Source organism: Homo sapiens, chromosome 5 (assembly GCF_000001405.40).
Source record: "Homo sapiens chromosome 5, GRCh38.p14 Primary Assembly".
Classification (NCBI taxonomy): Eukaryota; Metazoa; Chordata; class Mammalia; order Primates; family Hominidae; genus Homo; species Homo sapiens.
Window position 1 is genome coordinate 43287143 of NC_000005.10, and position 26331 is coordinate 43313473.

Sequence of the window (26331 nt, forward strand, 5' to 3'; positions counted from 1 at the left end):
CTTGACCACCAGCCAAGAAAGGTTCTCTGCTTTTAAAGACCCACATGGTAAGGCTGGGCTTACACAGACAATCCAGGATAATCTCCCCACCTCAAGGTTCTTAACCTTACTCACACCTGCCTCAGACACTTAAGGTAGCATATTCAGATTCTGGGAATGGGCAACTTTGGTAGGGGTTGGGAGGGCATCATTCTGCAATGAGGTTTTTGTCATTTGGTGAGTAAACCAGCTCCAATCTCCCATCCTGAATGCCTGCTTTCTAGGGCCATTCTGGGTACCAATCGTCTTAGTTTGGATTCCCCAAAAAACAGAGCCTGAGAGAAAAGCTTGAATGAAAGTCATTTATTTGAGAAGCGATCCCAGGATGCAAGAGAGATGCACAGGAGTGAAACAAAAGAGGAAAGCCAATATAAGGATGGTTATTGCCAAACCCGCCACAGAAGTCTCCTCCTCTTTTGAGGAGACTTACGAAATGCATTTCAGAACTGTCTGCCCAGGTGATGAAAAGAGTAATCAGTTATCCACTAGCAACTTTCCACCTAGGTCAAGGATGGCCCCATGGGCACCTAACTCCCCTGCACCTTTGGGCTGTGCAATTGGGAGTACCAAACAAGTTCTGCAGACATTCCACGTCAGGGAGGCTGAAGTGAAAGGTATACAGCTAGAATCCAAAGAGAGGTACTATCATATTCTCTGAGAACCTGGTCAAAGACTTCATGGAATTAGTTACCACAGCAGTGACTGGAGTAGAAGGCAGGGCAGAGAAGATCTGAAGTGGGGCCCAACATTTCTGATGCGTAGATCAAAGGCTTAAGGCTGGAATAAACTCAGCATGTTTGAGGAATGCAAGAGAAGGGAGAGTGGGTGAAGACATACTAAGCCTTGGTGAGTATGGTACTGAGTTGAAGCAGGAAGAGATCAGATCCCACAGGAGTCTGCAAGGCTGAATAAGGAATATACATAGAATGAATAGTGCTTACTACTGAATAAAGTAGTCCAGGAAAGACATTCTTTTTAATATTAAAAGATAAAGCCCCAATATATAACCCATCTGAGGATTTCTAATCATAATCTTCAGCATCAAATTACTGCCTTTATAACATAGTTTGGGGAGATGAAAACAAAAATCACAGATCAACTATTTTCTCCCACTACCAGCAAAGAAAAAATGAGGAACCTATGACTTAAGAGCAGTTGCTAGAAATTTTAAAGAAAGGGTTCACTTTTATGTCAAGATCAGACAACTTTAAATTATTTAAAGATCCTGTTACCCTTGCTCTGTTGACTGCCACTTCAGTGTTTCTTTCAGGACACTCCAAACAGCAGACAAGAGATAAAGTGTTTCAACTGTGTCACAAGAGGACAGAAAGTGGCTGTTTGCATCTGTTTGGGTCTAGTGTCAACCTCAAAGTTACTCATTAGTATCCATAAAAATAAAAACTTAGGACAAAAGGTTAAGTGTACAAATAGAGGAAACACACATTCCATAAAGGAGAGGGGGAAAGATTGAATTCTTAAAGCCATACTAAATAATATCCTACAATGTGCAAGCAGAAGTGACCTTAGAGAACGCTAGCCTCTAAATGACCCAGAAAGTAAATTATGACTAAGTATGAAAGCCAGACATGACATGATGATAAAATATGAGCTGATCAGTATTAGAAAATATATAATTTGGTTTATTTCCTAATTCATAGAATCCTAAGACTTGATGGTGCTCTTAGGGATCATCTAATCCAAAATTACTGCCAATGCAGGGATTCCTTCTATAAAACCCCTGGGGATCACTAGCAACATGGGACTTTTAGGTTGGAGACTCTAGCTGGTAGTGGGCAGTTCTACGTTCACCACTAAATTTGCTCTTATTTGATTGCCAGCCCTTAGTCTTAGCTTTTTTAAGGAAAACAGTAACTCATTTCATAAATATTTATAGCAAAGTCTATATATGCTTGCCACGCAATTTGAGAGTTAATTTCTTTGTTTCAAGTGTAGGAATAATTATCAGTGTAAATTCCTCCATTCTAGATGAACAGCTCCTTAAAGACAAGACCATATATCTTGTACATTTTCAAATTTCTGCCTTAAACAGAGCACCTTGCTTATATTAGGATTTCAAATGTTTGTGAAATGATAAATGAATGGAATGAGTGAACGAACTGAAATGAAATTAATGCCCATATTTAAAAATAGAATATTAGCTGATTTCTTGCCGAAGTTGTTAGTTCAAGAGTGAAAAAGAATACTCAAGTATCTGAAACATTTCTCTAAAACTTTATTTCAAAGTTATTCACCTCACCGTTAATAAGGTGTATGATTAATGCTCTGTGCCAGTATTTGCAGGCCTGCCCATTGCCGGCAATGGACTTTGAGAAAACCCATTTCCTGGCACCCAAAAGTTAAATTACTCTTTTCAAAACATACCGATCTCCCCAACACTTGCAAAAGTATTACATGCACCATTTTGCCACCATTCTTTAAATCAGAACTTACATTATTAATCTACATCAGTGAATGTTAAATGAAGTCATTTTAACAAATTATGACTGTACAAATCAAAATACTACTAGTTAATATTAGACAAGAGTATCTTACAAACACTACTATTACATATTACCTTGCAATCTGAAACATTATATTTCATATTTGTGTATATTTATTTTAGATAACTGAAACTTCACAGAATTTAACAGCAAATAAAGTTTAAAAAATTTAGTTCTGTACATTAGTTCCAACTATCCCTATTTTACAATCTATAAGGCTCATGTCATAGTTCAGCACCAAAAAGATCTACACAAAACTGTTTAACCAATCTTCTTATCTATCCTGTGTGATAGTTTTGTTTGTTGTTGTTTTTTAAGGTAAAAGTCCTACTTCAGACCTTGAAGTGGAATACTTCTAGTCAGACTAGGTAAAAACTTGGGTCATACCTTATTTTCATTGAACAGATACCAAAAAAAAAAAAAAAAGGAAAAGGAAAAGAGCTGTGTTACACCATGAATTTAGGTTGTCAGCCTCTATGTTGAATTTATAACACTGAAGCATCAGAAATAGCCTAATAATGCCCTGCCCCTATTCTTCCCTTCCATTTTAAATTTTTAAAAAAGTAACCAGAAAAATGTTTCATTTATTCTTTAAAATAAGGTGCAAAGAAGGACTGCAACAACAAACTCCCTCATCCACACCTCCAATAACATCTCACTGTTGTTCAGCATAATCTACCATGAACTGATTCAGGAGCACACCTAGAGCTATATTCACAGCTCCTGAATGTACCATGTTTTCTATACCAGAAGCCTCTTCAATGGCAGTGTTTCTCTGTTCAGAGGTCATTACAATAACTTTTGTCACTGCTGGCCTGGACTTAACATTCCAGATTCCAGAGCCAGTGTTTTATTGTCCCAGCTCTTTTCTTCCTCTTTAGGATTTATCAATTTTAGAAAAAGGGCATGTTTGTTTTGCTATTTTCAAAGGGTTTGTGCGTATCACATTTTACCACATTTTACCCCAATTTTACCACACTGGGGAATGTTGTCACATTCCCCAAGCTAGAAATGTTTTCCAAAAACCACAGGTACTTTCTGTAATCTTGTTGTTCAAAGTACAAAATTCTTACATGTTAAAAAATTTTTTAATTGGAGATTAGTACCTCTGCTTTCTTCTGACAGAAGTACACAATTCATTATACCATGTTTAAAAACCAAACATCATGCATACAAATGGCCAAAGAGGTATGAAGTTTTACAGAGCCCTTAACATCATTCGAGTACATTTGGCATTGGCCAGACCACAACAGGAAGCATGTCAGCAAATAGAGCAAAGAGACTTTCCCAAGTACACGATAGTCATCCAGGCTCCATGTCAGTCACATAAAAATTTACATAACATGTAATCCTTTAAAATTATCCCCAGATATCCCATTCCTCCAACTGTTCCCATACCCCCACCCCATGCCCACCCCACCCTGAAGTCTTGCACCTCACAGAGTATCTTAATGTTCCCCATTACTAATGACAGCTGCTTCAGGTTCTGCTGCTGTGGCAGGGAGTCTTGGTACTTTCTTGGCAGGGCTTGGAATATGCTAAAATGAAAGGAAAAAAGTTGATGGCTCTTATGATTCTTTCCCCCACAAGAATCATGGCACCAATTAAAGTTTCTGTAAAGAAACTTAATAAAGGACAACTCTGGAGAAGTTTATGCTAAATATATATTTTATATAACTTTTCATGAAGGGAACTCAATATCCATTTTTCACCTTATGGTGAATTTAGTATACAATTATCCATATGGGGGGGAGAGGAAGCCTGCCACAGAGACCCACCACGTAACAGTATTTTACTTGTTACGTCTTGTATTTGCAACTCAAACAGTGGCGGTTTGACTTGCTACCTAATTTGTATAATAGCAAAAAGCAAGACTATCCATTTACCAAACTTGTAGTAAGCAGATAAATAAGTAGTTTCAAGGTTATAAAGTCCTTAGTTTATAACCTGGCTTTAATACTTACTACCTATAATCCTGGGCAAGTAATGTAACTTCTTGGAGGCTCATCTCTAAAGGGAGGACAGTATCATTTATAAACTTCAAGGAGGTTGTTGTAAGGATTAAATAAGAAAACGTAAGTAAAGTGCCTAGCAGGTAACAGGAATTCAAATCATAGCTATGATTGTTACTTCTTGACAATTTGAGGACAGATTTTGACCATGATCTGGGATGAGATGTGAAAGGATCCTTGTCCCTCTACTCCATCTCTCACAAAGACACACACCACAAATGAACCTTCTCTCTATATCAGTCTTCCTTTAAATCCTGGTATCATTAATAAAACCTAGTATTTACTGTATATTCTTTTTTTTTTTTTTTTTTTTTTTTGAGATGGAATCTTGCTCTGTCGCCAGGCTGGAGTGCAGTGGTGTGATCTCAGCTTACTGCAACCTCTGACTCCCTGGTTCAAGCCATTCTCCTGACTCAGCCTCCTGAGTAGCTGGAATTACAGGCACGTGCCACCAAGCCCAACTAATTTTTGTATTTTTAGTAGAGACAGGGTTTCACCATGTTGGACAGGATGGTCTTGATCTCCTGACCTCGTGATCTGCCTGCCTCAGTCTCCCAAAGTGCTGGGATTACAGGCGTGAGCCACCGCACCCGGCCTTTACTGTATATTCTTAAAATATTAATAATTCAAATGCAAAGCACTTTATACAATTGGAAATAGTACAGCTAGAATCTACTCCCAGAGCCCTTACTCTTCTTTACTGACATTTATTTATGTTGCTAAATCCCAGTTAGGTCTCCTAAACCCTAAGATATGGAGATGGGAACTCTTTTATTTACCTCAGTTGCTATGTTTGAATGCACAAGTCCTACTCCTTCATCCAAAGTGTCATCATTTGGAGTGGGACGCCGAGCGTAAGTTCTTCTGTGCTTTTCATCCACCCTAACTAAGTACCACGTTCCTTCAAAGAGTGAATCTATTGAACCCTGGGGAATATAGTTGACTAAAGGAAAGGGAGAGAATATCTACAATTAGTTATGATATACAATTCATCTGGTAATAAAGCTAAAGATAAGTTTCATATATCCCAATAATTTTCACTGACATCAGATTAGTACTGAGTAAAGTCTTGATATCCTTATCGTATATGTAGCATCCTTAATGATATCAGCCCTCCAAATGGGTTAACTTAAAGAACATTTAATATTTTTACCCAAATGATGGGTGTCCTCTCTGAGCTTCATGTTTTCAGCGAAGACATCTGGTGCCACACCAGTTCTTGAATCAAGCCTTGATTTAAGATCACATAAACTTGCTGTTATTTTATCAAGAGCAGACCCTAAAATAGTGAATAATTCAACATTAAAAGATTTTTTTGAAAAATCATGTCCAAAAGAAGCCTAAGTAAAATGTTGCCAAATGAGGCAAAACAACTTTTCATTTTCATTAAAACTACTGGCTACTGATTAGTTAAAAGATAAGATGATACCTATTTGACAAATCTCCTATGATGTCAGACTAGAAATCTATTATTGAGTATCTGCCACTAGACAAGTTAGGAAACAGGCATAATTTGAAACTATAAATAACTTGTCTACAATTAATCCATGGTACAATTATTTTATTTTTATTATTTTTTATAGAGATGGGGTCTCACTATGTTGCTCAGGTTGGCCTTGAACATCTGGCCTCAAGCAATCCTCCCACCTCAGCCTCCTGAAGTGTTGGGATTATAGGTGTGAGCCATTGCACCTGGCCCATGGTATAATTTTAAAAAGTAATGTCAAGTTTTCATCAGTTTATCTCTACATTTTTGCTCTTTCCTGCTCAGGGAAAGCACAAAAGTGACCTTAAATATAGCCAAGACCATAAGCCTATAAAAATTAGATAACTTAGTCCTATCCTTTATCCAGATAAGGTAGAATTTTTTTTTTTTTTTTGGATAGATTTTTAGGGCAGAGAGTAAAAACCTACTGAAAGAAGTAATGAAGACTAAAATATTGTAATGATCTGTGGGACAGATTCAGGTGCTCACTTGAGAAGACTGCTAAATCAACTTCCCCAGAGTAGTTCTCAATACATTTTTTTTTTTTTTTTTTGACAGAGTCTCGCTCTGTCACCCAGGCTGGAGCACAGTGGTGTGATCTTGGCTCACCACAACCTCCCTCTCCTGGATTCAAGTGATTCTCCTACTTCAGCCTCCCAAGTAGCTAGGACTACAGGCATGCACCACCTCACCTGGCTAATTTTTGTATTTTTAGTAGAGATGGGGTTTCAGCCATGTTAGCCAGACTGGTCTCGAACTCCTGACCTCAGGTGATCTGCCCGCCTCGGCCTCCCAAACTGCTGGGATTACGGGTGTGAGCCACTGTGCCTGGACTCAGTTCTCAATACATTCTTGTTGAAAGATTCAGCACTTACCCGGTGTAGCATCTTGTGTGACTTTAAGAGAGTACAGAGTGGCAGCCAAACCAGAACCATAAGAAAACACTCCAATTCTCTTCCCTGCTAATTGCTGAGGTGAGTACCTATGTAGGGTGTAACAATAGTTCAGAAGTTTAACTGATCCAAAGCTACAGCGTGTGGGAAGCTATAAAAGTAGCAATAAAAATTTAGGCTATAAGTAAAAGTAGAATCTAACTTAAAGTTTTAAGGATCTAACTCAAAGTGTTAATATTGCAGTAGGGAATATAACTTAGTTTTAATATTGCAGCATGTGAGTTTTCATCTTGTGGGGAATGACAGAGCTTGTGAAAGTCATGCCACAAAACAAGTTACTTCATCAACCAGGTATTTATGGTTCAACTGTAGGTCAAGAATTAAAAAACCATGAAAACAGAAGCCAGGAAAGCCAGTATGAAATTAACAAATACTTCTGGAAGAACTGTAGCCTCAACCCATACATCTTTCAAGTCAATGGACAATAGCAGATTAGAGAGCCTCAAGATAAAATTTTCTGTGATCTACCACCAACATGCTTGACACTAGATTTGGTCTTAGAAATCTAACATCTCCCAAATAAGGGGAGTTAAGTAGTAGGTGAAATTTATACTTACTGTGCTAGAACAGATGCAAGGGAACCATATACTGAAGATGTGTACATATTTCCATTTTGATTTGATACAAGTAAAGATGCCTTTGTTTTCTGACTGAAGAGTTCAGAGCTAGCCTTCATAAATGCCTTCTCCACATCTCTATCAAAGTAGGTGTCTTCTAATTTAACATCCCTGAAAGATTTATTTTACAGTTTTACAGTGTTTAAAGCCTATGTTTTTATTACACTAAACAGCAGGCCTAATTAGGATTCAAATCTTTAAGTGTATATAATTGTTTTCTCATTTATTAAAAGCCAAGTAGCAGCAATCTAATTGCTATAGAAATCATAACAGTTGTATATATATGGTTCTTTTTCTCAAAAGTTTTCATAATCAAGTTAAGCCTGCTTGATTTGAATAGGTTAAAAGACGCACTGTAGCTTTATATTTATATTCACTTATATTGGCTTCAATGAATAGAATATTCAATCAACTGAATATTCATCAACTGAATAGAATACTATTTCAAGTCCATAATAATGTTTATTTAGTTAGAAAAGTCATGGTATTACAGGAGCCAAGTTTTAAAAGTCAAGTATAATTTTATCAGATAGAGAAAGGACACACAAGAGACACAGGGAGAAACAGAACGAGTTGAACACACATAGCATGCTAGGGAGCCTAAAGTGAGAAAAAGACAGGTGGAGTACAAAAGCTGACTTTAGCTGTGGCAGTGTGCAGGATGGAAAAGGGCATGGGGGCAGGGGTGCTGAGAGAGGTAAGGAGTTAAGAGGCTGCTGTAGTGAATATAGGCCCTTGTGCAGTTACTTTATCGTGACAACATGAATGGAGCTGAAAGAAATAAATCAGAAAATCTGAATAGAAATGTCTAAAGAATTTGTGCATGTTAACTACCACCTCTCTGGACTTAGATTCTTCACTGACTGAGACACACAGATTAGACTGGATGACTTCTAAGATTCTTCTGACTCTCAATTTCTCAGGTCTGTACAAATAACAGCTTAACAGATATTAAAAATGCTCTAATATAGAAGGAAAAAACTCATAATAGCTCCTCTTACCCAAAGGCTTCCAGGCCACTATAGATACTATTTTTATCTCTATTCTGGTCATTAAGGAAGTCATTCAGCAACATCCGAGCTAGAGATTTCTGAACCAGTTTACAATATGGTGAGTGAAAGATCATGAAGCCAAAATCATTCAAGGTAAAATCTTTATCATTTCCCTCTGAAAGAGAAGTCCAAGGAAACTATGAAATTCATATAAGCCATGAAATTTTAAAGTTTGACTTTAGAATAAAGCTAGGATATTTGTATATGTTTAAACAGCAACCACAAATACACTGTATAATGAAACCTCTCTATACCTTAAAGTATACATTTAAAAAGACACTCAAAGATGAAACAATATGTACTATGTCACTAATTTTCAAATTTAAGATTCATACACATTAGCAGGTTACATAATCAATTTAGTGGGTCAGGATTAGTATTTTTTTTAAATAAAAGAGTATTTTAAAAAACAAAATGCAGTAGAAAAATAGCAAACTGAATAACTTGCAGCAAGGGTAAGTAATGTCATGACATTTTTGTTTCAGTCTGGCATACACATACAATGTAACATGTACTTCTTACTGTGGGTCCTAATAAAAAAGTTAGAAAACCACTATTCTGTTAATATATACTGCAAGAATGCTTCTTATCCAGAGCGACTAAATTCACTGATATTTGTCATTGAATATGATTTTTAACCCCTTCTCATAACCTCTAAAAAGCAAAGTTGGACTACAGAAAAAGTATACTTTATGTAATAATGTGTTATGATAGCATTAACTCAAATACTGTCCTTTCAGTGCCTCAACAAATTTCCAGATTAATGATAACAGTAAAAAAACAAATACAAATTCACAGGTCAAGTGCAAAAAGATTATTTTTGGGGTAAGATCACTTTAGTAATTCATTTTCATTAGCTTTCCCTGAATCACAGCTGTAGTCCAAAACCTTGTTAAAATACCTCTCTCAAAAGATGAACAAAATTCAACTTACCTTCTTTTCTCCACTTTGATTTTCTTACAAGGGGTAAACCGACCTAAATATTTTTGCAGAGATACACCTCAGTTCCAAAGTTTACCTCTTCTAGTAAATTACACTTTCCCAGAAACTATGGGAAAATGTTGTTTGGTGAATGAGGAATTAATGGTAAAAGGATATTAAATGAAGAATGCCCACAAAGTAGTTGCCTACCAAAGATACCTAGTACATTAGACTGCTCTCAACTCATACCAAAACCAAGGAAAATGGGTAAAACTTACCTTTCTGCCACTGGGCATGGATCTTTTTGCAGTAGACAGAATAGCAGCGGTCTAATGCACTGAGGTAGCACTGTATGGAGAGTTTTCCATCTACTATAGGATATTCAGATAGCATATCAGGCTTGTAAAAATCATAGGCATGTTGCATATGTGTCCCACGAAGCCCTATTAGAACCAAAAAGGAAGATGTCTATATATTTCTGCTTCTTGATGTCTGTATGTTAATAAGTATACTGCATTATCTAAGGACCTTCCTTAACTATCTGATCAATTCTCACCACTTACAGTAGAGAAATCGCAAGCTGAAGCCAATATAAGTGAAATGATACATAACAGTATCCATGGACAGTCCTAAGACTCCTTTGGTATACAACTTTCCATGTCAGTTTCATAACTCTAACAGTTCACAGTTACTCTACTACACTGAAGACAAATTAAAATTGCCAGTGACTATCAGCAAGTTACTATTTATCATTTGAACCCTACATTAACCCACTTCTCTGTAAAGTGGGGATGACACCACCTACCTCATAAAACTGCTATGAAGATTAAATACAGGCCAGGCATGGTGGCTTACGCCTGTAATCCCAGCACTTTGGGAGGTTGAGGGGGGCGGATCACCTGAGGTCAGGAATTCGATGCCAGCCTGGCTAACATGGTGAAACCCTGTTACTAAAAATACAAAAAATTAGCCAGGCATGGTGGTGTGTGCCTGCAATCCCAGCTACTCAGGAGGCTGAGGCAGGAGAATCACTTGAACCTGGGGGCAGAGGTTGCAGTGAGCCGAGATCGTGCCATTGCACTCCAGCTTGGGCAACAAGAGTGAAACTCGGTCTCAAAAAAAAAAAAAAAGAAAAAAAAACATAAATATGATAACACACATAAAGCTCTTAGCAAGTAGTACCTGCATTTAATGACCATTAAGTAAGCGACAGCTCCTACTTCTATTTTCAAATTTCTCAGCATATTGTGCTAAAAAAAACAAAAATGCTTTCCCAAGCACTTACCTCGTTCAAAAATTAAAGGAGCATTTGGCCCAATTAGCAGAGCTACTGCTCCAACTCCACCTGTAGGTCTAGCATTTCCTGTGGCATATACAGCAATATCTCCTGCAACTACCAGGGCATACCGTCCTGAAAAATATTTTTTGTTATTTCACAAGAAGGAATTCAACACTATAACCAAACATGGAAACTGAAGTCTGTTATATTTTCCCCAGAATATGCTTTTCCCTTCTTTGATAAAGAAAGAAAATGCTCTAATTTTTTTTTAAAATTCATCTGCCAAGGCTCTGTCATCCATCTGACTAAATTTTGAATAGACCATTTGTCCTACAAGATAAGATAACCAATTCACAATTCGGATAATGACAGACAGGTAAAATATCTTTCTTAATATATCCAAACAAGGACAAATTACAAAAGTTTGCGTATTGCATTAATTAAAGTGTCATCTGGGTCTATTGAACCTTAGAAAAAAATTTTGGGGGACGGCGGGGAATAGGCATGTAACATACCATCCCAAGAGCTGGACTCAATCCAGTTAACAGCATTGAAGACAGCAGCTGTGCCTCCATAGCATGCATTAGTTGTGTCGATTCCTTCTATATCTGTATTCCCAGACTCTTCAAACAGCTGCATCAAATTAGTCTTCACAGACTTTGATTTGTCGATGATTGTCTCTGTTCCAACTTCCAGCCGCCCAATGCAATCATAGGAAAGGTTATTTCTCTCCATAAGATTCTGAACCACAGTCATGCAAAGAGAGTTAATATCTTCTCTATCTGTGCAGAAGCCCATCTTGGCCTGGCCCAAGCCAATGGTATACTTTCCAGCATCTACACCATCATATTTTTCCAACTCTGCTTGATCAACATATTGAGAAGGAAAATAGATCTCAAGGGCAACAATTCCCACATCTTTTGGCCAGCAAGCTTCTGCATTCAAAGGAAGTGATCCAGGCATGGTGAAAGAGCTTTAGAAAGGAGAAACAGAAAAAAAATTGTTTTAGGTTATAAGTTGCTGGTTTTCAACTTTGAAATTGAGAAATAGATATTAAGAGTTTAGCAATCACCTGAAGTATTAGTTTCTTTAAGTTTAGTATTTAGGGCACTCAATTGTGTACATGTGAAGTAGCAATTATTATATGAATGGAATATTATCATTTAAAATTATAGTCTTTTAGAAAGGCTTCCATTTTATTCAAAATTGGGCATCTCTAGATTTAAAACATGATTATTAGAGGTAAACAACACTCAAATAAGATTTTCTACATTGTAAAGAACTGTAAGATAAAATACAATGATAATTTAGAAATATGGCTGACAAATCAGAATTACCTGACCACCCGAAAGTTTTAATAAATTAGGCCGGGCGTGGTGGCTCATGCCTGTAATCTCAGCACTTTGGGAGGCTGAGGCAGGCGGATCACAAGGTCAGGAGATCGAGACCATCCTGGCTAACATGGTGAAACCCCGTCTCTACTAAAAATACAAAAGAATTAGCCGGGCGTGGTGGCAGATGCCTGTAGCCCCAGCTACTCAGGAGGCTGAGGCAGGAGAATGGCGTGAACCCGGGAGGAGGAGCTTGCAGTGAGCAGAGATCATGTTACTGCACTCCAGCCTGGGTGACAGAGCAAGACTCCGTCTCAAAAAAAAAAAAAGAAAAAGTAAAAATCAATCAATCAATCAATCAATCAATCATGTATTCATCATAGATAAACCAGTCCTCTTTTAAAAAAGGGACTAAAAAGTAGTGTCTAGATTTACTTACCAATAGCAACAAAAATCACTAGCTACTCAAGACCATTGTTGGGCATTTAACTTACCAGAGCTTCAGCTTCTTTAACAGGTTGTATTAGTCAGGAAAAGAAAAATTACTATAGATATTTCAAACAGAGGGGAGTTTTAATGCAGGGAAATAGCTACAAACTTGTTGGCTGGGCTGGAAGAACAAAGCGGAAAAGGTGGTTCTCTGATCCCATGAGCCTGCACTCCTGCTGAAGCTGCTGGAGCTACAGTACTAGTACCTCTGCTGCTGAGCTGGAACCCAGAGACCCAAAGTCCCACTGTTGGTGCTGCCACTGACAAGAACAAGAGAGGTACCTTCTTCCCACCTTCTAATATTTCTTGAGTACTTCCAATATTTCTTGAGTACTTCCATCAGCCCTCTAACCAGAACCCAGATGGCATAAGAACCAATGAAATGTAATTGTGAGGCTTTGAAGAGTGGCACAGCTCCTCAGTTTTAGAGAAAGAATCCTAAAACCTAAAATTCTACAACTCAATTTCCTTTTTAGGTATGACATCATTGGATGGTGCTACTTAGGTGGCAGAATTTCATTGACCCAAAGGTCTTGGGTTATGAGTTACCTGGGCCGAACTGATTCATGAACATTCTGTATGACTTGTTTGTCAACCCATCACTAATTTGATACTTAAAAATGAAAGTCAAATCCTGTATTTATGTCATTTGTCCTCTGCTGCTCTGCAATTAAAGGTCTTAAGGGGCCAGGTGCAGTGGATCATGCCTATAATCCTAGCACTCTGGGAGGCTGAGGCAGGAGGATCACTTGAGCCCAGGAGTTCAAGACCAGCCTAGGCAACATAGCAAGACTCTGTCTCAACAAAAAAAATTTTTTTAAAATGAGCTGAGCATGGTGGTGCATGCCTGCAGTCCCAGCTACTAGGGAGGCTGAGGTAGCAGGATCACTTGAGCCCAGGAGTACAAGGGTGTAGTGAGCTGTGATTGCACCACTGCACTCCAGCCTGGGTGATGGTGAGACCTTGTCTATAGAGAAAGGAAAAAAAAAAAAAAAAAAGAAAAGACTTAAGGGATACCAGTTGTATCTTCCTTCCAAACAGAAGAATCTTTTTTTTTTCTCATTCATCCAACCAATGCCAACATGTTACATACTAAACATTAGGGATGCTTAATGGGAGACTTCCTTATCCTCTCGAATATTCACTATTTTATGGGACAATAAGAGAAAAACACATAATAATAAACAGGTAACAACATTGAGAACCACATTATATAATGGAGAACTACCTAACCCAGCCTGGTGGTAGGGCAAGGAGTGTTAGGAAAAGCATCCTGGTTATAGGGGCCTGACTTGAGCCCCAGGAATGGGTAGGAGTAAGCAGTAAAGCACTGAAGAAATGGAGGGTAGTAGATTTTCAACAGAGTGGACACCATGAAGAAAGGCAAGCTACAAGGAATTACAAAAAACTTTACTTGTCTATTGGAATGAAATGTGAGCTGAGTGGATCAGGTAAATAATAGATTAGAATAACTAGGTAAGGGTTAGGTCATGAAGGTTCTGGTATGCTGATGTTGAGGGCTTCAAATTTATCATGAAGATAGTAAGAAGCCATCGGAGAGTTTAAGGAATAACATGGTGATATTAGTTGTCAGGTCAGTGTTTTTCCAACTCCGGAATCAATTTAGTGGATGGCAAGCACACATTTAAAAAAATGAAACAGAAAAGAATACAAGATATAAGATTGCATGGCACAGGGTAAATGTAAAGATTTTTCTTGAATCAACCTTTTGTTTTAATTATTCATACATATATAAAGTATACATAAGTTGCAATACAAAGTGTATTTTTACTGGGGGCCACAGTCAAAAAAGTTTGACAGCCACTGTTTTATCCTCACTAATGCTGTTTTACAGTCACTGGTGCTGTGAATGGATGAGTTAGGAAGCTGACATGGCAGTCCAGATAAGACATGGGTCATGAACTAGAGCATTTACTACATGTGGAGCGAAGAGGAACAGCCTCCAAAAACATGGAAAAAGCAAAAGAACTGGCAGAAACTGTAACTGACTAGATGTTAGGGAAAGAAGAAAATGTATACAATGACTTCCAGATTTCCATCCTCAAGTGTTTTATGACTTGACAAGCACACTGTCAGATACACTAAATGAACAGAGATCCTCTCCACTTTGTTCTACTCCACTTCTTCCACACAAACCCTGTTTACTTTATGCCCTTTTCCCTGGTAAGTGGAGTTCAGCCAAACCAGCGCTCAGAACCACCACTGAGGAAGTGAAGAGATCAAGCTCAGACAAGCTGCTTTCGTTCCTGTCATTTCACCAACATCTCCATACATTTTTCCAGTTTGGTTTTCCTATCTACTTCCTTCCTATATGGGACTTAACACAAGATTCTTAACTTTCATGTATGCAGTTTATACTAGAAAACACACAAAGAGAACTACACTGAAGTCAACATTAAGGATAAATGCTAAATACTACCCAATCTTTCCCCATCTTACAACTACTTACCTACATAACCCTCCCTCTACCCTTTACTCTCAAATTATTATATTCTTTATCCAAAAACATTTAGTGCTTTCTTCAACAACCCACCTCGTGCTTCTGCTTATTGAAATCCTTTATAGCCCTAGATCACATAGGTCACATTTTACCCATGAAACCTTTCTAAATTACCTTTTGCATTTCTTGCCTATCCTTCTACATCATCATACTTCGTCAATTAAAGTCACTTTTTTGGGTAACATTTCAGAAATTGGGATTCCTCTTACAATTGCTATCAGACAGAAGCCAATTATGATGTTGTCATTGCTTACACATGGGAAAATAACAAAACTGCCAGCATGACATTTGCATATGACAGTCAACAGCCTGAAAGAAATTCCCAGAAATGATACTGGAGCATTCATTTCACCCTCTAGGAACCAAATGGACTGGGAAGGAAGTAGAAGATGGGGAATCCCTAAGCAGCAGTCAAAGTAGGCTGGCTTTGCATAATTGCAAAGCTGAAGGCCAGCACCAAAACCTTCGCATTCTTTTTTGGGATCTTGAAAGGAATGCTACATCACCAATTCTCTTGGCGGCACAGAGGATGTTTAACGGAAAATTACAGGTATTAACAACTCTGACTCCAAAAACAATTCAGAAGGCAGACTCTAAATATGTGAAATTTAGCAATTCCTTATGTGTTTTTTCACTTGTGTTTTCCATCTTATTGAATGTGCAAGTGACATATGACAAAAATCTATGTCTAACTCTAAAAGAGCTCTTTAAAAAATTCTAAGTAATCAAAAAAGCATTGTATCTTAATTTAATTGGCAATGAAGCATCTTAAATTTATTACATCCTAGATTCTTTAGATAGTACGAAATATAGCATTCAGTGCTTCAACTGTGTTACTTCCCAAATATCTGCCTGAATTATGGATTGAAATGTCTGGGTTTCCCCACCAAATTCATATGTTGAAGCCTTAACTCTCAATGTGATGGCATTTGGAGATGGGGCCTTTGGAAAATAATCAGGTTTAGATGAGGTCATGAGAATGGGGCCCTCATGATGGGATCAGTGCTCTTATAAGAAGATAAAACGAGAGCTTGCTCATGCTGTCATACTCTCTCTATGCCATGTGAGGACACGGGCAATCCAGGAGGAGAGCCCTGATCGGGAACCAACCACGCTGGCACCCTGACTTCCAGACTGCAAACCTATGAGATCATAAATGTCTGCTGTTTAAACCACCTACTCTATGGTATTTTGCTGTGGCACCTAAGCAGATTAAATAGTCTGGTCACCTCAACTAAGTCCAAGCTCCTTAAGGTCTCCTCATGTCTTAGACTACTGTATGGCCCATTTTACCAGACATAGCATATATACCGCTGCTACTCAATTCCACAATGGAAAGAAAAACTCCTAAACACAACAGTCTACTTCCGAATTATATCCTCTTGATTCCTAAATTACTGGCCATATTTTTGTATTCAATACAGGAAAAACAATGTCATCACCAACATTCAGGGACAGGGGCATAAAGAAAGACTAAGGGAGGCTCATTCTTGTTAAGACCTAAAGCTGAGGAGGGTAAAGATAAGGCTTTTACATTCCTACTCCATTCATCTTCAACTCCTTTCCTGTGTCTACAACTCAGATGGAGGACTACTGATTTTCTGGATATGAAGCACTTGAAATGTTCTACATCCATCCTCACTCTGAGCTTCAACAAACTCTCCCCATCAATTTTTTGATAAAGTTGGTGCCCACTTTGCTGAATTTGAAATGAAAATATAAAAGGGCTGCCTAATATGCCACTAGGCATGGATTCTAAGTTTATAGTAAAATAAGATACTGGATAGTCCACAAGAAAGAGCCCTACAACTACTGTTATCAGAAAAAGACTAGTCCATAGGCTTATAAGCTCCTACATATGATCTCTTAAGTCACCAAAGTAGGAGTAACCACCTTTCCAGCCTTTCCCACAAGGCTACCCTTTAGATTCTTTTCAACTCTTCAAACTGCTTTAAATATGCTGAAGACAGTATGGTCTTCCTTGCCTGGCTCAGTGGTTTTTAACACTATTGGAAATAAAGTGAACAGGGAATATATCTTTTTGAAGGTATAAACCAGTTTGCAATATACTTGTACTCACTAATAAATTCACTTTAGTCTTTTAAGAGCATCATGTAGCAACACTGGCAATATATTTAATTATCCTTATAATGCTTGTACAATTCTCTATAAAAAGTTATAATGCAAGGCTTCCATTTCAGAATTAATCTGTATTTGTCACAGTCTGACCAGCTCTGATCAATTCTTTGTATTATAGTACTCCTAAAATAAGATACAACTCTATGACTCCTAAATGTCCTACATTAAATACATGACATGTTTCATTTGAAAACAAACAAAAAACGTAGGTTAACTAAAATAACCCACATACATCAAATGGAAAGTGAAACACAATTCTGACTTTGATGGAAAAAAACATTTTTACATTGTCCAAGTCAGTCAATATTACTCATTCTCTGAGGGTTTCTGACAGCCAATGTGTTTTCCATTATGTTCTTGGTAAAAAGCCATCTAATCTGAAATATTTAGCCTTTGGTTCAAATTCAGAAAGAGAGTGATTAAGTTGACAGGAAAATTAATACAGAGAAATAATTGCTTTCATGACATTTAGAAGAACAGAAAGTTAATAGTTTCTGGTCTCAAATGTTACTTTTTTTTTTGAGACGGAGTTTCGCTCTTGTTGCCCAGGCTGGAGTGCAATGGTGTGATCTCGGCTCACTGCAACCTCCGCCTCCCAGGTTCAAGCGATTCTACTGCCTCAGCCTCTCAAGTAGCTGGGATTACAGGCGGGTGCCACCACACCCAGCTGATTTTGTATTTTTAATAGAGATGGGGTTTGACCATGTTGGTCAGGCTGGTCTCAAACTCCTGACCTCAAGTGATCCACCCGCCTCGGCCTCCCGAAGTGCTGGGATTACAGGCGTGAGCCACCGTGCCCAGCAAATGTTACTTTTAACTATCCTATTGAGCATGTGCTCTTACATTGTCCTTTCAAATGCTCTCTGAAATAGGCTAGATATAGTTAGATATAAATTAGGGAAAAAAAGACTAGCTACAGGTCTGAGGTGCTCACATTATGGTATTCACTCTTTACCCTACCAGAGAATAGAATATTCTGGTTAATTCACTATTTAAGAATAAAGAGGCCGGGTGTGATGGCTCACACCTGTAATCCCAGCACTTTGGGAGGCCGAGGTGGGCGGATCACTTAAGGTCAGGAGTTCAAGACCAGCCTGGCCAAAATGGTGAAACCCCCTCTCTACTAAAAATACAAAAATTAGCTGGTTTTGGTGGCGGGCAACAGTAATCCCAGCTACTTGGAAGGCTGAGGCAGGAGAATCACTTGAACCTGGGAGACGGAGGTTGCAGTGAGCCAAGATCTGAGCCAAGATCGTGCCACTGCACTCCAGCCTGGGTCACAGAGTGAGACTCCGTCTCAAAAAAAAAAAAAAAAAAATTTAAAAAATTTAAAAAAAGAGATAAATCACAAAAACTTTCAAGTAGAACATAATTTTAAAAATCTGATGGTTAAAAAAATTACGTTTTTAATTTTTTACAGATAATGCATTTTATTATTTTCAGAGTACTATATTCACCATAAAATAAGTCTAAAGAGAATAATGAGGACTCTGTATTTATAATAAAATACACACATTTTCTTTTTAAATTCTATCCTTAAAAAAGGCGAGAAAAGGCAACTTTCAGAGAACTTTGTAAACCTTTCAAGTCTTCCAACAAAGTAGTACCAACAGAGGACTAAAGTCTTAAATAAGTCTCATTAAAGTGAAGGCTCACTCCCTCTGGTGGACAAAAGAAACTCCATATGCTATTTCCAGAATCAGTAAAGCAAGATAAGGAAGCCTTGTTAATGTTTTCTGAATGCTTCCTGCCTAGAATACATAAAAGACCTATATAGTTATTCTGAGAATAAATCTGGAAATGAAAGAGAACTGGAAAGGGGAAAAAAGGGGGAGGGAAACTAGCTGATGATACTGGTGCAAGGGAAGTCCTAACCTAGCTCCTCAATGGCTGTGTTGGGGAAGGACTTCAGCATCAGTCTCTCCTAAGTGAGCTCTGCCTCTGCTCTCTTCTCTGTCATAGGCCAACAGTTTTTTCCAAACTGCATGTCTAACCATTGTCAAGATGCTGCAGGTTGAGCATTCCTAATACAAAAATGCTAAAATCTGAAATGCTCCAAAATCTGAAACTCTCTGAGCACCAACATGATGCTCAAAGGAAATGCTCATTGGAACATTTTGGATTTTGGATTTCCAGATTAGGGCTGCTCAAATGGTATGTTTTCTCAAATATTCCAAGACCCAGAAAAATCCAAAATCTTTAACATTGCTGGTCCCAAGCATTGTTCAGATAAGGAAAATTCAATTTATATTTCAAACTGCCAAGTTTCTCCTCTATTATTTAGGCTTAGCCTCTCTGCATTAAACAAGGAGCTTTTGGAGAGCAGGAACCGTGCTTTGTTCATTTTTGTGTCCCCGGTACCCAACCCACTGTTTGGCATATGGTAGATGCTAATGTTGAATAAATGAAATGGTACTAGACTTCTAATCTAAAGTCATTAACACCCATAGGAAATCATAATCTTGAAATACAAAAAAAGCAGAATTGTAAGAGAAGCACTCCCTGACAATATGAGAAAGCAATGGCTGCAAATAATTAGATTACCAGTTGAAACACATTTGAAATTACTGTCCATTCTCACATAATTTTTTTTTTTTTTTTTTTTTGAGACAGAGTCCCACTCTGTTGCCCAGGCTGGAGTGCAGTGGCGCAATCTCAGCTCACTGCAACCTCCGACTTCTGGGTTCAAGCGATTCTCTTGCCTCAGCCTCCTGAGCTGCTTGACTTACAGGCACCTGCCACCAAGCCTGGCTAATTTTTTTGTATTTTTAGTAGAGACTGGGTTTTACCATGTTGGCCAGGCTGGTCTCAAATTCCTGACCTCAGGTGATCCACCCGCCACAGCCTCCCAAAGTGGTGGGATTACAGACGTGAGCCACTGTGCCTGGCCCATTCTTACATAATTTTAAACATTCATCCACAGCCCAGATACATATCTTTTGAGGCCATAATTTAAAAAGCACTAATGGCAGTCATGTTTACCTCTGATTGTTTCTGATTAAGTAGTCCATGTAATTACATTTTATTATAAGTACTTTTTCTCTTATGAGTGAACACTAATTTTTAAAATTTGTTTCTAGATTTTAAACATTAGTCTAATAAACATAAAATTAGTTTCCTGAAGCATTAAAGCATTAACAGAATTTTAAAGATGAGGTAGAACCCTAAAAGGGGTTTTAAGAACATATGGCACAAACAAATCGTTATTTTCTCTAGGATACCAAGTTTCCTCCTTCCATTAGAGAGGAATACTTTCCTTAAGCAGCATGACAGGATGTCATACCTGTGTGAAGGATAGAGAACTGCAGTCTCCAGGTCTGTCACTGTTTCCTCCTTCGGGCACTAGGAATTTCAAACAAGAACTGCTTTTAAAGTTATAAATCACTACCCAAATTCAAATACTAATGAATCCAATTCAAAGTGAGTTAAAATAAGCAATTCCTTATCCAATTACATTATGCAGAATAGAATTTGACATTTGCTTAGAAAAAATCATACTTAAAGCTTATAGAACATTTTCCCCCTTATTTTCATAGCCCTTATAGTGAAAGGTTCAGTCCTGGTAATAAACGGATATAAGAAGCCTACTATTGCAGGAAGGAATAAACAAAAAAACCTCAAGGAAATAAGAAGCCCATGTCACCAATTGAGGCTTTAAACCAAGGTTTTCAAGAATTGGGGGAAAGGAATATAAACAAGTTGTAATGAGTTAGCAAATTTCTAGAGTAAAGAGATATATGCAGTCAAGAGCCTGCACTGCATGTAACAGATTGTGGCTTTGGCAGCAATTCTGGACCTCAGTTTCCTCATCTATAAAATGAAGCTAATACAGTTGCCCTCCCCAGATCATTGTGAAGGATTGCTGAGATGATAAAATATGTGAAGACACTTTGTAACACAAAGCACCAATACACTGACTATTACCTTAGTTCTTATAGTTCTTATAAGTGTTTTTCAAAGAAAATAAAGGTATTTTTTCTAGCAAGACCTAATCATTTTCAACACTGCCACCTTCACCCTCCCAACCTTTTATAAAGTGATTTTCCCTCTTACTGCTTATGTTAAAAAATTAAGCATTTAGACAAAGGAGCATTAAACATTATTATGTAAATTAAGTAGAAATAATTTGCGAAGGTGACTGGAACATATTCTTCAGTCCATCTGTTTTGAAAGACTGATTGTTACTTGAGATGGCAACTTCTATGTTTAACACAGCATACACCATTTCCTCTGCTCTCTATTTAATTACTGGCAAATTTAGCATCTGCCCTTAATGGATTCACTGGTAACTACATTCGGATGTTATTAATATTTAATAAAGCTTTACTTTTTTTACATAATTACATAATTTAAGAGCTCTTCAGTCGTAGCGCCTTTTACTTCATTAACTAAGTTTACTACCCACCTACGCCCCCCTGCCCCATAAAAAGAAATAGATCTTGAGTTTTGTAGGCAAAGAATACTACAATATTCCAAAAATGTCTCTAATTAACTGTAATTATACATACTTTGAGAAAATAACCTATCTTTGTTCTTTATTATCTCAAATTATGCCTTTGTCTTCTGCAAATTAAGCAGACCACAGAGACCAGTTCTTGAAAAACAAGATTCCTTCTCCATGTTAAGACTACTTAAATAATAATATTTCTTCTTGATGTTCATGTATGTATATGCATTTGACACTACTTGTATCAAGGAAATTTTCCTTGAACTGCCTATATTCTGCCTTTCCTTGCACTGCCTATATTCCCTCAAATTTTTTTTTTTTTTTGAGACAGGGTCTCCCTCTGTCACCCAGACTGGAATGCAGTAGCATTCCAGTCACTGCTCACTGTAACCTCGACCTCCCAGGCTCAAGTGATCCTCCTGTCTCAGACCCCGCAAGTAGCTGGGACTACAGGCACATGCCACAATACACAGCTGATTTTTGTATTTTTTGTAGAGATGGGGTTTTGCCATCTTTCCCAGGCTGTTCTCCAACTCCTGGGCTAAACCAATCCACCCACTTTGGCCTCCCAAAGTGCTGGGATTATAGGCGTGGGCCACCTTGCCTGGGCCCCTCTTTCTATTTTGATTACTTAAATTGGAGAGGGATGTTAGGTGGGAGAGACACAGAGAACAAAGAAGAAACAAATAGAAGATTCAGAAAGGATTGCTGTGCTACTTAAGGATTTCTCTATTCTGGCTAAACCAGTATTGCCAAAGTCTCAAGCAGATCACAAGCTTATTTCTAACAGGTCTTTTCAGAGTAAGTGACAGAGGGAATCAACATGGGTCAAGAAGCAGTTAATGAATGGCAAGTAGCCAGGCAGGTTACCACAAAGCAGGTTTGCAGACTCATGGGATGAAATATAGGCACTTTGAGTCTGGCAAAGACTAAAACACAAGAATGATAAGACTGCCTAGGGCCAACCAGATTTATGCAATGGTAGTTTCTTCTGGAGTTTACTCAGTGTTCTGAATACTTCCTTCTGGCTCCCTCCTTAGCCTTGATTCAAAGAAGTGGTTGGAGAAGTTCATTGCCTACACATTTTGGTATGTAAACTATAAAATATAAACAGTTACCTATTGATCTTTCTCATTGTTACAGGAGATAAATCTAGGAAATTAAGAACAAGTTGGCAACCTTTCCTCCTTAGGAGCAAGCAAGTAAAAACTAATGTTAAGAAAGACTTGCTCAAACCTGTACACTCTGGTATAGTTCTCCAAGTAAAAAGCATGGACATCCCTGCCTCCTCCCAGAGTTACTGGTCTGCGTATCAGAGATTCTACTCATCTTCAAGGCCCTGTTCTAAGTCACCTCTTCCTGGAAGCTTTCCTCGATAAATCACACAGAAAATAAGTTTTCTAATCAGGGACCTGCACTTCTACAGAGGTAGGTCATTCATACCCAAGTCTACATAGCCTACTCTCTATGGAAAACTAGTTATGGGCAGTCTTCTTATCCATACAGGATTCCTACACTTCTTTTGGGAGAGGGGCTATATATTTTGATTTTTTGAAATCCCTTTGAGACCTTGAAGTAAAGGGTACTCAAATGTCACATTTTTCAGTGGCTGAATTTGGAGTTATAACTACTAGAGGACAAATCTTTTAGATTTAATACTTGTAGCAGCCCTCAGTAGTAAGTGCTTTCTGCTATCACTTTTTAATTTTTTTTTTAATTTATTACTGCTCCTTGCAGAGCAGGGCTACTCTATATGTAGTGTGTCCAGAGTAGCCTGCTATCAGTTTTGAGATGAGCTGCAGCACCATAATGTCTAGTTTAAAGAAACTGGCTCTTTACTGCTACTGTTCAAGGCATATGGTAGGTTTCAATTGTTCCCAGATTCCAAGGTGAAAAATGTAAGAAGCCCATATGGAATCAGAAAACATTTGTTGGTCTTACAATCATTCCCATATGCACCCACAACTAAAAACCCTGCAAAGATGAAGACAACACTTCAGGCTTTCAAAGATTAGCCTCTCCGCTACTGGTGTAACTACACCCAGTTGACAGACATTAAGTGAACATCAACACACGCCATGCATTAGGATGAAGAGATTAAGAGTCTAGTTCTAGCCAGGCATGGTGGCTCACGCCTGTAATCTCAGCACTTTGGGAGGCCAAGGCGGACGGATCATTTGAGGTCAGGAGTTCAAGACCAGTCTGACCAACATGGTGACACCCCATCTCTTCTAAAAATACAAAAAAATTAGCTGGGTGTGGTGGCACATGCCGGTAGTCCCAGCTACTTGGGAGGCTGAGGCAGGAGAATCACTGGGAGGCATAAGTTGCAGTGAGCCGAGATCACGCTGCTGCACTCCAGCTTGGGCGACAGAGCGAGATTCTGTCTCCCCAAAAAAAAAAAAAAAAAAAAATCTAGTCCTATCATTAGGACAGGTAATATGTATCCCACCTTTTAAATCTATACTACCTTCTTGAAAAACATAAAAATATCACACATCCTTCTATGATATTTGGTTCCACAGTAACCCAGCATAAAATTATAAGGCTATATTCCTTTCTAAATGAAACTAATTGGAGATTCTGATATGTAGCAAAACAAACTTCTCCAGCTACATCTCATATCCAATTCCACTGGATTATGGAAGATCCAACCAGGTTTTAAATGATTCTAGAGGACACAGGAAACTGATGTTACAACAATATCGGGTTTTTGCGTTTATTTCTTCTGAGAAAAGCTATCTAAAATCTAAGTCAAAATCTCAAAATCAATCCACAGTTAAAAGAAACAAGATGTAAAAGCAATCTGGAGGGATATTTAAGATGAAAAACAAAATTAAAACAAGGCCCAAATGATGTGGCCTATGGCTCCAAACATAAAATATCCTTTTACACTCCCTCCCCACAGCGTAAGTCAGACCTTCTGAGTGCTGGGGTTACTGATGATTATACTAGAATTGAGCTGAACTAAAGTAGAACCGAATAAAGGGCAAACTTACAAACTTAGGTGAGAAATATCTACAAAGGTAGACACAAAGAAAGCCTTTCTCTCTTCCCATAAGGTATGCTATCCCTGCCCCCTTCTTCACACAAAAATAACTGCAATTTTAAAATAAAGTTTAAAGAACACAAGCTGCTTAGGTGTCTCAAGTGCAAAGAACTACTGACACGGATAATGTTAACGACTTTCAACTGCCTCTCATCTAATAGTATCTGTGCAATAAAGTCCAAAACACATCTCAGAAGGAAAAATCTGTTAACTCTAGGAGCACTTCCATTTGTCTTAATTTTGTTGTTTATCTTGTCATTGTTTTTCATATTCATGCCTAAAACAGAGCAAATGTTAGTTAGCAGCAACCAGAACACATCATCCTACTGCAGCAGGTGGCAAGAGCATCCTCGGGAAGGTGGGGAGCTGCAGCAGAGGTGAGCAGTGAAAGCAGCTACTGATGCCTTAAGGCTAAGGCCATAGGGACAAGCATGACAAACAGGCACAACCTCACATTATTTGTTCCCCAAATCCCTCCTCCAGAGTGGATCAGAATAATCGTTTCTCTACCACTGGTCAAGGCCAGACGTGGGTTTTCAAAGACTCCATATACTTGCTTTGAAATATCCTTAGCTTAATCCAAAACCTATTTGTGGGAGGACTCTGTGAGTGCCTGCCCATTACACTGTATCACCTAAAGCTGGTCCCGAAGGTATTAGTAGGAGAGAGATGTGGGATTTCAGAACACCAAGGAAGCCTATTTTTTAAAACGTAGACAAAAAAAAATATGGAGGCAGGAAGGCGGGAGGCAGTGATCTATGAGATTTGAAGCAAGTACAGACTGAGCCCCAGTACTTAGCCAGGTCTAAATCACGGTTGTGAACGCTTTCTTGCACCTGAGCTGAGGAAGAAAAGTAATGCTACCCACTTCCCTTCTTTCCATCAACTCTATATGTGGCAGCAGGACACACCCCCTGCGAACCTACCAGCCTCCGTCTAAAGAGGATCTTGCCCATCCTTTGGCGTCCACCCTTAACCAACGCTCTGGAAACGCCTTGGTAGCCCAACTGTCTTCTCTCCCCCTCCTGACACCCCCCACTCACCTCTAGGCGGTCACAGCTGCCTCTCTGGCACCTCCAACTCCTCTGTCGTTAGAATACCTAGACCTCAACGCCCTCTCGCGTTCTCCCCTCCGCGACTCGCCTGTGTTCTCGGATCTTCTCAGATCCGCTACGGTCGGCCTCAGGTCCCTCACGAGGGAACCCCCGCCCGGCCCCGCTCACGGTGCCCCATCCTCCCGGGCAAAGTCCACGCCTACGTCCTGACCCAGAGCCCCAGCTCCTTCGGGCCTAGTCAAGGACACCGCCTCTGTCTGGCCCACACCCCGCCCGCGGCACCTCCGCAGCCCAGTTCTACTCCCCAGCGCGGGACACTCACCAAGCGTGACCGAGCGGCAGCAGAGGAAAGGGAGTGAGCCACGAAAGGACAGTCCGCGGCGCCTCCCCTTCGCCACCAGCTTTATAGCCGCCAACCCACCCGACTCCGGCACCGCCGA

The 26331-nt window shown here is 38.8% G+C and overlaps 1 protein-coding gene across 10 annotated transcripts, besides 3 other annotated features; it reads right to left on the reverse strand.

Moving 5' to 3' along the window:
• Positions 1-327: 327 nt before the first annotated feature.
• On the reverse strand, positions 328-26270 carry HMGCS1 (3-hydroxy-3-methylglutaryl-CoA synthase 1). 10 transcript variants are annotated; one of them, NM_001098272.3, is made up of 11 exons: positions 26214-26270; positions 20624-20682; positions 11376-11833; positions 10867-10992; positions 9860-10024; positions 8610-8775; positions 7549-7719; positions 6914-7020; positions 5706-5831; positions 5332-5495; positions 328-4078 (listed from the first exon to the last, which is right to left on the reverse strand). In NM_001098272.3, exons 3-11 carry the CDS (start codon positions 11821-11823, stop codon positions 3989-3991), a joined length of 1563 nt encoding a protein of 520 aa, NP_001091742.1. In that variant the 5' UTR covers positions 11824-11833; positions 20624-20682; positions 26214-26270; the 3' UTR covers positions 328-3988. The 10 variants fall into 10 exon arrangements, with proteins under 10 accessions (NP_001091742.1, NP_001311149.1, NP_001317592.1 ...); NM_001324220.2 differs by having other exon boundaries at positions 20624-20702; NM_001330663.2 differs by lacking the exon at positions 26214-26270 and adding an exon at positions 25880-26039.
• Positions 14465-14759: a silencer, noted in NCBI's record as "tiled region #4627; HepG2 Repressive non-DNase unmatched - State 14:Gen5'". NCBI's record gives its function as "represses a minimal TATA promoter and a strong SV40 promoter by Sharpr-MPRA in HepG2 cells {active_cell/tissue: HepG2}" and the evidence as "EXISTENCE:reporter gene assay evidence [ECO:0000049][PMID:27701403]".
• Positions 19038-19097: an enhancer, noted in NCBI's record as "active region_22535". NCBI's record gives its function as "activates an Ori minimal core promoter by ATAC-STARR-seq in GM12878 lymphoblastoid cells {active_cell/tissue: GM12878}" and the evidence as "EXISTENCE:reporter gene assay evidence [ECO:0000049][PMID:35858748]".
• Positions 26040-26179: an enhancer, noted in NCBI's record as "active region_22536". NCBI's record gives its function as "activates an Ori minimal core promoter by ATAC-STARR-seq in GM12878 lymphoblastoid cells {active_cell/tissue: GM12878}" and the evidence as "EXISTENCE:reporter gene assay evidence [ECO:0000049][PMID:35858748]".

What these genes read in the sequence shown, in the direction of transcription:
- HMGCS1 (NM_002130.8), bottom strand. Translation starts at nt 11,823, where the DNA reads ATGCCTGGATCACTTCCTTTGAATGCAGAAGCTTGCTGGCCAAAAGAT. An exon ending in CCATGCCCAGTGGCAGAAAG is followed by an intron (nt 8,776 to 9,859) that starts GTAAGTTTTACC and finishes CTTCTCTTTCAG; the next exon opens with AGGGAAATGATAAAGATTTT. An exon ending in AGAGGACACCCATCATTTGG is followed by an intron (nt 5,496 to 5,705) that starts GTAAAAATATTA and finishes CCTTTCCTTTAG; the next exon opens with TCAACTATATTCCCCAGGGT.